The sequence below is a fragment of the Homo sapiens genome, chromosome 7 (genome assembly GCF_000001405.40).
Source record: "Homo sapiens chromosome 7, GRCh38.p14 Primary Assembly".
Lineage (NCBI taxonomy): Eukaryota > Metazoa > Chordata > Mammalia > Primates > Hominidae > Homo > Homo sapiens.
In genome coordinates, this window is record NC_000007.14 from 114,142,987 (window position 1) to 114,158,318 (window position 15,332).

The 15,332-nt window shown below is 34.1% G+C and overlaps 1 protein-coding gene across 1 annotated transcript in view, besides 1 other annotated feature; it reads left to right on the forward strand.

The window, feature by feature from the left end:
- The window catches only part of FOXP2 (forkhead box P2), a 607,439-nt gene that overhangs the window by 56,660 nt on the left and 535,447 nt on the right, over window positions 1-15,332 (forward strand). The window lies entirely within an intron of this gene.
- Window positions 10,504-11,521: an enhancer, noted in NCBI's record as "VISTA enhancer hs720". NCBI's record gives its function as "enhancer in: midbrain (mesencephalon)[5/7]" and the evidence as "EXISTENCE:transgenic organism evidence [ECO:0001131][PMID:17130149]".

Sequence of the window (15,332 nt, forward strand, 5' to 3'; positions counted from 1 at the left end):
AGATATAAAAAATTAGTCAGGCATGGTGGCATGCACCTGTAGTTCCAGCAACTCAGGTGGCTTCGGTGGGAGAATCACCTGAGCCCAGGAGGTGAAGGCTGCCATGAGCTGTGGTTGTGCCATTTCATTCCAGCCTGGGGGACAGAGCAAGACCCTGTCTCAATAATAATAATAATAATAATAATAATAATAATAATAATAGCCTACTTCCAACTTGTATGGAGAAATCAGCTGTGTCCCACAGTATCTCCGAAATCATTTAGAAGCTTTTTACCATTTTGAAATATACATTTTAGTACTACTGTACTTTAAAAGGCCTAATTTATCACAGTCATGTTATAAAGCCTATGATTAGATTCTCTTGAGATTGAGTTTTTCTTTCATAATTTGCCCTTGCTCCTAAAAAATGGAATATAAATTAGCATATTAGTTAGGATGGGATAGGTTATTCTGTAGTAACAAACAATGCCCCCCCACCCCCAGTCTATTTGGATTGGTATGACAATAGTTTATTTTTCCCTGAGGTTACAATTTCAATACAGATTGTTAGGTTTCTCTGCTAATTGTAATTACTAAGAAAACTAGGTTGTCAGAAGCTTCATTTTAACATATACTTCCATTATGACTTTAACAGCAGGAATAGAATACAATGAATCATGTACAGTGCTAGCTTCTAAAGCTTCTGTTCACATTCCATTGGTAAAGTAATTCACTCAGCCTCACATGATTTCAAAGAAGGAAAGTATAATCCTACCATGTGTCCAAAAGCAGGGACCAGAAATATTTGAAAACAGCATTCATCGTGTACCACAAATGATTATTTGAATGTTTACTTTTTTTTTTTTGCTTTGAAAACCAAACTATCTTAGAGTTGGTCCCTGACTTATGCTGGTTCTACTTAATAATTTTCAACTTCATGATGGTATGAAACCATCCCTGACTTATGATGGTTTGACTTATAATTTTCTGATTTTAGGATGGTGCAGACCTGCCCAATTTCAGATTTTGAGTTTTGATCTTTGCCCACAGTGCAAAGATCAAATGCAGTAGTTGAGATATTCAACACTTTATTATAAAACAGACTCAGGGTTAGATGATTTTGCCCATCTGCAGGCTAATGTTAAGTGTCTGAGCATGTTAAAAGTAGGCTAGGCTAAGCTATGATTTTCGGTAGATTAGGTGTATTCAGCAACGATACCTTCAAATTACGATGGCTTTAGCAGGATGTAAACCCATTGTAGGTCAAGGAGTATCTGTATTTTTATTTAATTTTCTTTGTGGTTTATGGTATATAGTTCACCAGTTTGAAACAGTATATTTACAAATTAAACTATATAGTTTATTTTGCTCATCTTTTTACTGTCTCTAATGTAAAGCAGTTTGAGCAATCAGATAAACCTTTTACTTATCTGATTGTGTGACATTTAAATTTTAATAGTCGTTAGTATTACATTGGATGACTTTTTCATTTTACATATGTAAATATGAGCATCATCTTCAGTTCTTAATTCCTAAGTATTTAAACCTCAAGCAGTTTGTCACAAATTTTCTGATAGTAGATCTTCTAACCATGTTGAGTATTATTTTCTTAAATACCAAAATATTTTCTGACATATTAAAATATTAACTATAGAGTTTAAATTATGATATATTATGTAAATTATTAAACTAAGACCCTTAAAATTATTATTTTTCACCTGAGGGAGCCATGCTGGTTCAGAAGTGTTCAGAGTTCTGAACATGTTTATACTTATATGTAGCCAAATATTTTACATGGAAAGAGTGATCAATGAACAGGCAGCAAAATATTAGGTTATTTATTGTTTATTTTGAGTACAACAGTAACATGATACAACAGAGCTCTTAAAATGAGTGTTATCAAAAGGATGATAGTATTAAGAAAAGAACACTTTTTATTATCCACTGAACGCTATTAATGTTCAAATTGACTCTTCTGTTAGTTGCCTTGTTGGAGCAATCTGAGCTGCTAAAAGGACTCTTAAACATGAGTTGGTCTCCTTAAAATTCTTTGAACTACTGGGATGGCAGCATTAGATTAAAGCAGGGAATTGAGCACTAAAAATGTCACATGGAGTTTCGATACTGAGTACCAATTCTACCACCTATTCTCCATGACATATTAAGCCCTCTAAATTTATTTTTTCTTCTGTACAGTACGAATAATAATAATATGTGCTCTTACCCCCATAGAGCTCAAATAAAATACTGTTTTATAAACTGAAGTTTATCTTTCTGACTAATAATAAAGGATACAATTAAGACATTGATCAGTAGTCCACTGCTTTTAATTTTTTATGTAAATGATCAATAAATCTTCCATTTTAGACCTTACATCTTATTTTAACAAATAGTAAACATTCTGAAATAGATAACTTTGAATAATTAAATATTGGGCAGTTATTTTAAAATAGTAGCTTTGCCATTTTTTCTTTTCTTTTCTTTTCTTTTCTTTTCTTTTCTTTTCTTTTCTTTTCTTTTCTTTTCTTTTCTTTCCTTTTGAGATGGAGTTTTGCTTTTGTTGCCCAAGCTGGAGTGCAGGGTGTGATCTCGGCTCACTGCAACCTCCACCTCCCGGGTTCAACTGATTCTCCTGCCTCAGCCTCCCGAGTAGCTGGGATTACAGGCGCGTGCACAACTATAGCTTTGCCATTTCTACAGTTTTACTGAAGAAGGCTAAAATGCTTAATTTCTAAAAAACACATATTTAAGTAATACAGAATGGGTAATAACTGCAGAGAACATATATGCAATTCTATAGAGAGACAATAAAGTTGTTAAAGTGATGAGATTTTCGCAAATTTTACTGTTTAAAAATTTCTATTTTAAATTATCCTATTGTATAGAAAAATGAAATTCTAGAAGTTGTGTGTAAACATTATTTACATTTTTATTCAAAATCTTTTGACATAGGACTTGATTAAAGTATTTTAAAGTAGCAAAACATTATTCTTTACATATGTATATGTTTCTATCTGTATTCTATATGTGTTTATGTCTGACACTGGGTACTTTCTGTAGAGTGGTGGGTTTCATTTGCTTTATAACCAAAGATTAAGGTAAAGTGAAACTTGTACCTTCAAGACTTAGCCAGTTTAGCTGGATTCAGAAACCAACTCAGCCCTCTTTGGTGGTGGATCTAAACTAGATACCATGTAAACTTACTGTTAGCTGTAATTTCAGAGGTTGCAATTTTTTGAATTTTTACATGTGTGAAAAGTTAGACCTTGGTAATGACTTTGAGCAGTAGCGTATAAATAACTCGTACATGCTTAGCGTTCCAATAATGGAACACTAGGCATAATACATGTTGAATTGACCTGAATTGATTTCCCTGACATATGACCCCGTTCGCTAGTAAGGTTCTAAACCTCACCTTTTATTTTCTTAGCTTGGAAGAATGCTCTGCACATAGATTCAATGAATGTTTATAGAATTAGTGAGTGGATAAATGAATGAGTCACTCTGTTAATCAGTACAGGCAATGGTAGATTGAGGAGGATGCGATTGATGAAGTTGGAAAAGAAAAGAAAGGAGAGAGATCAGGGATATTGCTTTAGGGCATGTCATTCATCAGAAGAATTTTATTTTCACACCTTTTAAGATGAAATTTTGACAGCATCTTTAGAATGTATTTGAACATTATAAACGTAAAAAACTTCAGGAATGCTAATTGCTAATATGATACTATGATATAAATTTGTCATGGCATAGGAGGAAAACAATTGTTGTTGCCATTGCTGTGTGTGACAGGCAGGAAAAACAATAGACATGTTACTTGGCAGCAGGCTGAAACAGCATCATTATCACCCTACAGTTATGAAACCTCTGAATTGGAAAGGATCTTAAAGGTCATCCAGTCCAACATCCAGCTTGACAGATGGCCACCTACCTAGCTTCATCCTAACCATTTCTACTCATTGTTACTTGTTGTGGTAACCAGTTGTATAGATGAATAATCTTAGCAGTTACAACACCCCTCAAATCCAGCAAAAATGTGGTTCTTTAAAAGTCAGTGTCCCTACTTGAATACTCAGAAATTACATGAAATATTCCTTAGGTAGAATAGTATAGAGAAAATGGAATAAGACTTGGTATGTGAAGATTTGGATTTCAATCACAAATCAGCTACTTGTTAATTTATTCTTGGTTAAGTTATTTAATTCATTTTACATATATATAAGATGGGGTTGTTATAGGGATCAAATAGATTATTTATATGATAGGATTTTGCAAACTGTAAAATGCTATGAAGTTCCCTTTTTGACAGCCTTTTGTATGTTGATAACAGTTACTTTTTTTATTTGGCTGTCCCCAGAATTTCTCTTCTGCAGGTGTAAACACAGTTATATTTTGTAGTGTGATATGGTTTCGTGCAGAGGGCAGGAGACACATTAGTGCCATGATGTAGTGAAATAGAAAACAAGGCTTTTATTTTAAAGCAGACATGGTGCAGACAAAGTACCCTTGATCCTCTGAGCAACCATCACCCCCAGAGAAGCAAGCTTAGGCTGGGTATACCCAGACTGCATGCACCAAAAGGCTCCTCCAAACCCTGTTGTGTCTGCCACAAGTCCATGTTTATATTTGTATGATAAATAGTATATTTTTTTTGCTCAAAGGGTATTGCCAATGAAATGATCATTTGATACTAGTCTATAAAGCCAAAAAAGAAAAATAATTTAATTTAAAACATATCTTCCAAAGAAAAATGAGCTAGTTTATCTCATTAGTAGTTAGCCTCTCCTCATCCCTGGCTTTTCTGCCTGCATCTTAAGAGTAAATAAGTCAATGGGAATAACTCCCACCTTGAGTATTTGGGAGCAGTGGAAACCCAGATTGGGAAGGGGAGGAGAGAAAGGAGGATAGAATTCTCAAAGCTGTTTATATGGTTGAGCCTTGCCACACAGTAGGTACCATAACATGTAGTTAATCAGTATCACTTCTGGAAGCTCTTCTTTTTTCTCCTAGGATGGAAATAAGGGGTTCAAGTGGCCACACTGTGTTATTCTACAAGCCATTCAACTGCACAGAGAGGCCAAGACTATTAGCATCATTGAGCCTGGGCATTAACCACACATAAATACTCACAGCTTGATAATACACTTTATCTCTTAGGGCAAAGCCCCACCGATGTAGATCTTTTAAGTAATTGTGTGAATTGCGGGGATTGGGGGAAGAATCTCATCAGAAGTTTGAAGGGAGTTACATTGAGTTTATGATTTAATTTAGAAAGAACTAAACTCTATTGAGTCTTCTCATCCAGGTCCTTTTTTTGAGGTTAAAATATTGGTAAATTTGCTTTACTCTGCAACATGTAACATGATTTATTTTTTCTTTCTAAAAACTTTCTTTTTCCTTAATTTCTGTAATACTCTTACTGGTATTTTTCCAACGTTTGGCTGTTCTCTTTTGTTCTTTGTAGGCAACGTTCACTTATCCTCTCCACCTGAAATCTGTACCTTTCAGTCTTTTCCCACTCACATATTTAGATGCCCAAATGCTCGTATTAATAATTTTGCAACTAAGGCAAGGTTAATTTTGCATTAGTTGGTGCAGAGGAAGACTTTTTCCATTAGATACTTGCTCTCTTGAGAAGCTTGCCCAGGAAGTATAGTTTGAAATAAAAGAGAAGTAAGATAAGAATGAAGTCAAGCAAACTGCTTTCCTGTATATTCACTATGTTGTTGAAAGACATGGCTATCAATCACATATAATGAAGCCAGAAAACCTGGAAGTCATTTTCAATTTTCCCTCTTATGTTCCTTTTTCTTCATCAATCACAAAGTGAAATGGACACTAATTTATAAATATGCCACATCTGTCTTCTTTGCTTCATCTCCGTTTCTACTGTTCTAGTTCAGGTTTTCATCCTTGTTTGGATTACTACTTTTTATTCATCCATATGCCTGTAGTTTCTCCAGTTCCTCTTTCCATGTAGTTAATATTTGACATCAAGTGTTCTCCGTCCCTACCCTTACTTCTGCTTTTATACAGCTTATGGCTGGCTAAATCATTGAATTGTTAGTGCGGAACATAGCCTCTGGAATATGGTGCACATGCAAATATTTTTGAATGATTAAGCACTGGAGACAGAGCAGGAGTCAGTATTAAGAACTCTTTAAATATCCTAATGTCACTGAATTCTGTGCCTTTTTTCATGGAACATCAGACATTTTTCTTATTGGAAAAAGTGTTCAATTTTTTTTTCTAGCCATGTAGAACTTTTTCTCCTGGGTTGGTTGGTTTGTTTGAGTCCTACTCTTTTACCAGTTACTTGTGAACAGTGGTCTTGACTTCTTTTCTCCTTGGAATACCTCCATCATTTGACATAATTATTATAAATAATTGCCCAATATGTAATATGTGATTATTAGCATAAGTTTTCCATATAAACTAATAAAAAAGCTGTTACATGGTTTCACTATGAAAACAAACCAGAATGACCTTGTGAGAGGTAGAAATAAATCTTATTTTCTTTACAAAAAGTGCCTTCTAGCTCACCTGCACTATTTGCTGAGGTCAGATTAACATCAGCAGCACTAGCCCTTTAATTACCATCAAAGAGTTACTTTATTATTAATTCCCCCATTTAACATTTTTTTTTTATCTAGCAAACTGTGTTCATTAAAGTAATAAAATAGTTTCTTTCAAAATAAAAAAGAAATGAACATCAGCTGGAGCTTCTTGAATTAACAAGTGAAACCTTCGACTTAATTGCTTTATGTAAGTATGTGTTAAAATAAGTAAAAAGTAAAATATAGCAGTGTCATGGATAAAATTAGACTCAATTTTAGTACGCTCATGTTGAGTTGAATTTTTTTCCTTTTAATTTCTTGAAATACTAAGGACATGGTAAAACACATCATCATGTAGTGAAATAGAGCCAGGAAATTTGGTTTGAGGACTCTTGACGTATATGGTAAAAATTACATTATTATCAGCAGCATCTTTAAATTAAAAAGATTGAGGGATTATATGAATACCGTTTAGTGTTCATTTAGATTTTCTAGCAAGTGCTAATTTTTAAATATGTTAAACTGCAAGAAGATTGACTAGATATATTAATACGTTTCTAATCTTTATCGATAAGCTTTATTTAGTCAATTTGGCTTATTTGATTTTACTTCAATTCTTAAAGGTAGATAATACATAGTATCTTGTAGCCTGCTGAGCCTCAATTATTTTAGGGTCCGGATGAAGAGATAGTTATCTTTTTAGCATGCAACAAAAGCAGGGTGGGGCCTGGGAAAGGTAGCCCTCCATTTGTCCTAATGTGCAGTTTTATAATTGATATCAGTTTCTATGTTGTGTTGTCATTAAAAAGTTTGTGAAGCATTGCCTTCATTATCCATTTCCACTTTTCAAGGAGAAATTACTAAAACCAGTGTCTTGGTATGTTTCTAGAAATAGTCAATGTTTATATAAACATAAATGTATCTTTATATACATTTTTTCCACAAATAGTAACAATATATACTCTTTGATGTATTCTGCCTTTTCACTTAATAGCCCTGGAAATTGTTCCCTGATAGTACATACAGTGCTACTTTATTATTATTGTTTTTGCTGCATTGTGTTGTTTATTAAATGGATATATCATCTTTATTCACAAATGACAAATTTTTAAGAAATGTTAATAGCTGTTTAAAATAGATATATATTCTTTATATGATGTCTACTTTACCAAAGAAAACTTTCAAAACTTCTTAAAATTGCAATTATGTCACTGGTGGTCACTTTCCACTGTTGTGGTTTTCCTAGATATCAATTTTCTCTCTTTGGCTGAACTATGTGTTTCTAGCAGGGCTTTTATTATACAAGCAGAATGTTTTTGATCAGATTGTATTTACATGACAGCCTGGAACTGTGGCATTCCCTCAAGTACATTGTACACATTTAAAATACTGTCTAAATATTTATTCACATGATGGATTACTGTGGCTGAGAAAAGGCAGTTACAACCTATTAAGTAAATAATTTTAGTTTTTAAAAATTTGGAAAAGCTTTGAAGGGGTCATAATGTCTCATCTCAGTTGTTAGAAATGGCCACCGAATACCATTTTTTTTCTCTAAATGGTATTTTAATTCTTATTTGCTAAAGTAACTAAACAAAAAGGGAAACGGGAAAAATGTAAACCAGTTGTCTGCAGGTATAGACTTTCCTTCCCCCTTCCCATGGTCAGATACCATCTCCTCATCATGAATGAGCAAATAGGCAAAATCATAATTAAACAAACAAAGGAATACTATGCTAGCAAAATTTTAATCTTCCTGGAGGTTAAAACAAAATTTCAAGGATATACAGCTGAATTGCAGAAATATTTAGCATAAGTAGTTATATTTCACTCAAATTTTCATAATGAATTATGATTTTCGTAAAAATAAAAATGACTATTTTTGTGAAACTTCTATTTAAGAAGTCATTGATTATTTTTAGGTCAGCTTGAAAATTGGACACTACATACTGTTTCTGTTTTTTCAAAAAGGAGACAAGGTTTTTGTTCTTAATCATAGAGAATTTATTTAAACTTATGTAAGAGAGAGAGAATTTGTGTGTGTGTGTTATTTTCTTTGTTCAATCATATGGTGCCATGTTCTTTTATTTATAATTCAGACATTATTTGAACTTTACAAACCTTTTGCATTTATTAGAGATCAATTTGTTACATTTTAAGAAAGTGAGAAAAATTGTGTTTTATTTCATGCAATACTAAGTTTATCTAAACATTGTAGGTTTGTGATTGTAACATCTTTTGACAAGCAAGTTAGACCATAGAAAGAGCATCCAACTTGGAGCTTGGGGCATATGGTGCTACCTTCTGCAAATATAACACAAAAACAAGTCATTCCATTCAGTGAGAGGTTATGTTCAGACTTTAGTGTGGAAGGGAAAAAGTAGCCTCTTATCTAAAAGAAAATAGTAATCTCAGTGGAAAAATGTACCTGTCTAAATTGAAACTAAAAGTAAGAGAGACTAAGAAACTAGTGCACGCGATTTCATTATCTTCAAGATCTAAAACTACAGCTCGAATGTAAAAATAGTTAAGGAATATAAAGTAGCAGAAATCTAAGAAAGTAGTTATTTTGGCCATTATCCCAGCAAGTAGGATTATTAATACTATGAAGACTTACTATATAAAATAATAGTATAATTAAAATACAGTATCTGGTATCTTACAGTATGTGTGGCACAATGATGAAACAAATTGTTCCGACATTATCTATTGAATACATAATTTTTACATGTCAACATTCTAATTTTAGTTTTCTTATCTGTGACTGATAGGTAAAATAGTCTATTATGTACACATCTTAATATTTCAACATATGGATAAAGATGAGGGAAGATCTATTGATCAGTTTTGAATTCAGATTGTCATTTTGAGCACATACTTCTACAGATGGTAGAGTGTTTGCCCATCAGAGCACCAATACCTTTGAGACAGCTGTTGCAAATAAATCTCTTTTACATGCTTTAGGTCAAGAGTAGTCAAACCTGTTACAGCACCTGCTTTTGCATATGCAAATCTGTTGTTTTGTCATTTCATTAAACAAGAAGAGGTAACAGTCTCTTGTGGTTGTAAATAAGTCTGGAACATCGCCTACATGAAATGAAATCCAGCAAAAAGACAACTGTGATTTCTGTTGTGTAGTCAAGGGAGGTTGCTTCTGTTTGGGGCTTTGTTTTTGGAAGACTGCCCGTGATTTGGAGGGAGGGTAGAGAAGCAAGTGTATGTTTGGAGGCAAGAACAGGGAAGGTGTTTGCTGTCATTGACCGTAGGGTAGTTCTGAAGTTTGACATGCCCAGAAGCTACTGAATGCCATGTGGGGCCCCCATACACTGCGTACCTCAGTTTTCATCATCTGGTGAGCCTGCAGCAGGATTTCCAGGCACTGGAGTCGACAACATGTCTACTTTGGTTTGGAACTGATTGATCCACGGAACAGAACATGCCTGTGGGATCTTAACCTTGCTATAGAATGACATAAATGATTGAAATGTTTTCTTTAGGAAAAAAGTATTATTTGTTTATAGATCTTATTGCTTATGGGAAAGAAATTGTCAAATAGTAATGTAAGTAGAGTTTGCTGGAAACTTTCACATTAGATTTGTGAATTATTGTCTTGTTTGACTTTGGCATATTAGAAATAAAACTGGGAAAACACAATTAGGTTAAAGAAAGGGTAGAATAAATTTTTTCCTTATCTGTATCTCTTAAAAAGAGTAGTGCCATAAAATAAAAATGGCACCTCAGGATTTGCAAAATGACAGAAGATTTTACTCTCTGTTGCCATAGATTGCTGTGGGGGAAGAAAAGGAAAATACTAGAATTGATGAACAAATGTTGCATGCTGTCATTTTAGATTACATTATTTTATTGTGTAGTTGTTCCTAGTTTTCCTTTTTGAACAATAGTGAAAAATGCTTATGACGTAGAAAGTAATGTTACAAATCTGTTAGTTGTGTTAATTATGTTTAAATGTGTTTCTTCTGACATGGAGTTACTATGAGCAGAAATAAAAAATATTATTTTCTAGCATTGGGGGGAATTAAAAATTCTTTCCTGACCTTTTAACCTTGTCAAATGATTTCCCTGCTCTTGACATAGTGCATTATATTTGCAAAGGTTGGAAGTTAACTCTTGAATGTACCAGACATCATTTTTATTGGGATATTAATTCTCAGAGGTGCTAATCTCATCAAGATTTGTAGGCATTTTCTTTCATAGGCCATTCTGATTTGTAGCTCTTTCTTTTCACAGCAGTATTAAATACCAAACCTTCTCTGATATGGAAGTTCATTAGAGATATGTCTTTGATGGCAGCCCTTTCCTGGCTTCAGTTTCAAATACCTTGATGTAAAGCTTAAGAAGCCATTGTGTTGTAAGCCCTCCTTGATGTGCCTTATTTAGATCTGCATAGTAAATCAAGGAAAGTAAATAACAAGGCAGCAGATGGAAGCATGGAGATAAGACCAGTGAACAATTGTATTTGTATTTTGTTATGATGTTGACAGGAGCTAAAATTCACTAATCTAGTTCAACTGATCTGCATTTCAAAGAAATCTCATTTAGCAGCAACTTGAAGGTTTGTAGGATAAAGTTCTTTTATTGCAGCTTTTATTGCATTCTTTGCTAATTTATCTGGTCAAGATTTAGCCTTGCTTACTTAAAGCTGCAAGCATGTTACAAGGAGTCTTAAATACTATGAAAGCATTAATGTCTAGACTATGAACTGAAGGTAATTACATATCCAGCCTTGAATAGGGTACATTTAGAAAATACTGTTGTCCAAACTCAATTGTCAGGGCAATATAGATAAGGTGGGTTTTTTTTTTCCACCTCTCCTGCCTATTTGCTCTGAGATTTTTTTCCACATCATAAACAAGCTAATAAACAATCATCAACTACTCAGAAATTATTCAAAAAATAAGTGTAAGTACATCTCCTTTAAGTATGAATCCATTGATGCTGATACTTGTTGTGCCTTTTTGAGAATGGAAGATTATTAGTTTTATAGTTTTGATACCCTTATTTGACTCTACAGTTAAAAATGTGTAAATATATAAGTGAAATGGTTAATGTGAACTTCAAAGTGTTATAAAAAGCATTGTCTGTGGACAACTTATACAAAGAATATTGGTATGTTCTACTTTTGATTAAATATATTATTTAATGGAAATTAGTATTTCAAAATGTGTTCAAAGAGATTAAATACTATATGTGTATATTTATATATAAACTGAATAGTGAGTAAATTTGGATTTCCAAAAGAAAAGACTGCTGGATTTAGGACAGTTATCCTGAGGTCAAATCCTGTCTCTGCCATTTATACCCTCTGAGATTCTGGGGAAAATACTTCTGTGAATTTCTTCTGTAAATTGTGGGGGTTGAACCAGAGTCTCACTAAGTCTTCCCAGTTAGAAGATCCTTATCATTCACTGACAATCTACGTTATGTCAGGTACCAATCTTGACCCAAAGATTATGTAGATAAGTTCTTTTCCCTAAAATAACTCATGTAAGTATTCCATTTTCTAAAATTGGCTGCTAATACAGTTATTAATAGAATTTAGAAAATGACTTAGTACTCCTGTTTCTGACTCTTAACAACTACTTGGATGACCCTATATATGTTGGGTATTGTAAACCAAAAATAAAATTATAAGACCCCCAACTGACTGATGGACCCACCTCTCATCCAGGAAGGACATTCCAAAGTAAACCTGAACATCTAGTTCAAGCCATGATGGGAAGGGGGATCAGACATGCCTCATTATATCCTCTTCCTTTGGAATTCAGGCGCAGCTGTTCAGCATTAACATTAAAACAGAGATCTTAAGACTGACAAAACAGACCCTGTAGCAATAAGACACCAAATTCCAACGTGACTCTAGTATAGCATCACATGACAGATAGCAGACCCTTAAAATAATTAAAGTGTTTTACCCCAAAATATATTTCTTTGACATATTTTGAAATGGCCCTGGAAAGCTGTCTCTTGTGAGGAAAAGCTACATTCTACAGGGAATCCCTTTTCAGGTCTTTTCCCTGATGCAGGAGAGAATTAGCAAGGAATCTGGCACCATTTTAGGTCTGATAATGTTAGCAGTGGAAAGTGTCTGTGTCATGTGGCACGAAAGTATTTTAGCAGCAAATCTGTATGGGTCTGCAACAACCTCAGTTCTTACCTCCTCAGAAGAAAGAATTTGATTGAGGGGCATAAGGCAGGAGACACCGAGGCAAGTTTTAAAGCAGGAGTGAAAGTTTATTAAAACGTTTTCGATCAGGAATGAAAGGAAGTATGCATAGAAGAGGGCCAAGTGGGTGACTTAAGAGATCAAATGTGCGGTTTGACCTTTTGACTTGGAGTTTTGTATGTCAGCATGTTTCTGGGGGGTTGCATCCCTTCTCCGCTGACTCTTCCCTTGGGGTGCACTGTCTGTATGCACAGTGGCTTGCTAACACTTGGGAGGGGAGCATGTGCAGTGTGTTTACTGAGGTTGTACCCATGTTCACTTGAGGCGTTCTTCCCTTACCAGTCTGAGTATTACTAGAAAGTCATACACCAGTTAACCTGTGCCATTTTGCCTCTTAATGCACATGCTTCCTCCCACTCACCCAACTCCTGAGATCTTATCCAGAAGCTGCTGATCACCAGTTTTAGTTTTTTTCTATCAGGAGACTGCCTTTTCCTGGTGCTGTCTGCCACCAGTTATTTTTTTACAGAGACAGTTAACAATAACTTGAAATGTTATTGGTTGCCTGACATTTTTGGTGTGTGTGTGCATGTGGGAGAAGAGCTCTCTCCTGCTCTGCTCATGTCTGACTAGCTACCCACTGTAACAGTAGGAGTTCTGAAGCCAGCTACCTGGAGGCTTCATCTGCATGATAAAAGATTGGGTTTCACAGCCCCTTATCTTAACCCAGATATTCCTTTCTATTGATTCCAGTTCTTCAGATAATAACTCTTTCAACCAATTGCCAATGAGAAAATCTTTGAATCCACCTATGACCGGGAGACCCATTCCCACTTTGTGTTGTTCCACCTTTCAAGACCAGACCATTGTATATCTTACATGTATTGATTGATGTCTTATGTCTCCCTCAAATGTATAAAACCAAGCTAAGGTCAACAACATGTCCTCAAGATCTCCTGGTGTTGTGTCACAGGTCATGGTACTCATATTTGGCTGAGAAAAAATCTCTTCAAATATTTTTCAAACTTGACTTTTAGTTGACAGTATGCTAGTTTTAATCTTACTTTTCATATTGTATGTAGTGGGCCTTAGGAAAGACATTTATCTTATCATTTAAAAGAAATTGTCATGTAACATGATTTTCATGAAAAACAATCTTAAATTTTAATGTTGACTTAGAACTTTAAATAAGTTATTTAAAACCACGTGTTTTATTTGACTATCTCAGTATAGATTGTCTAGTAAGTTTTTTATAAAAGCCAATGACTTGGTTGGCATGAGACATATTTTTGACAGATTTATTTATTTGGAAATAATGGCAGTGATAATTATTTCTTGCAGTTGATGAAAACAAAAGATTAAGAAGGACTTAACATAACTGTCTTTGAGTTATACTATAGCTCTGCCTCTATCTTCCATACCATTCCTTGTCAAATGACTCAGTAATTTCTTCATAATAAAGTTACATTGTTAAGAAAAACACAGATGAATAATACATTCTCTATTTTCAAATAATTTTAAATTAAATGTTAGAAATCAGGTATGTGGACAAATGTATTACATAGTAGATTGCATGGACAGTTTTTAGAGGGGAGCTGTAGAGAAAATGCTATTTGAGTAGCTTATTCCTGGCTAAGAGAATAGGGGAGTATTTCATGGAGTTAATGGTAATTAAATTGAGGCTTGAAAGGTATGGTAACATTTGGACAAATAGAATTTGAATAGAGACATGCTAAGTGGAGCAAATTAAGACTCTAAAAAAATCAAAGCAAATATCTAATAGCTCAGTTTGATTCTAGAATGTAGAGATAAGTGAAACAAAGTAAAGGAGAGGCAAATTCAATCCTAAGAATGAAAGGCCTTAGGTTTTAGGCTAATAAGTTTTGTTTTATTTGGTAGGTATTCAGGAGCCCCTCCCTATCCTAGTTGATGCACTTGTAAGAAGAGGCACCAGGGAAATAGTTGGATGACTTGAAGTCACATATATTAAATTTAGGCATTAATGTGTTCCCCCACTTCCCCCTGTGCCAGTCTAATGTACTATAAAAACATATTATATATTTGCAAAAGGTATGTCTGGCATATTCTGTAAAGATAATGATGAGAGGGATGTTTGAAGACATTTGGTAGATGTGAGAAATATGAATTTGAAATTGTTATTGGAGTAAAGAGGGAAAAACTATCATTATAGTAGTAGGTGGAAGAGAGACTGCTTTTAAGATGCTTTCTAGAGACACTTAGTATTCTTTGGTATATATTTAAGAAACAATATTTAAGAAAACAAACAAAAAGACTTGGGATAGAACTGAAAATATATCAGCCATTATTTGAGTAAGAGTCAGAATCAGAATATTCAAGTGAAGATACTTAAGAGTCAGTGGAAGACAGCTGAGCAAAAGAGGATGAAAAATTGCATTTACTAGATGTTTTAAAGTGCTAAAAGTCAATAGCAAATATTTTGTCAAAATATAAGTGTGTTGTATAGCAAAATATATTTACTGATTGTTCAAAACTCAAACCAGACTTTTATTTGGAAAACATGTTGTACTTGGTTGTCAGGTCGCAGGCTAGCCCATCCATTTAACCCTCGTGTTAAAAAAGAAGGGAGTGGT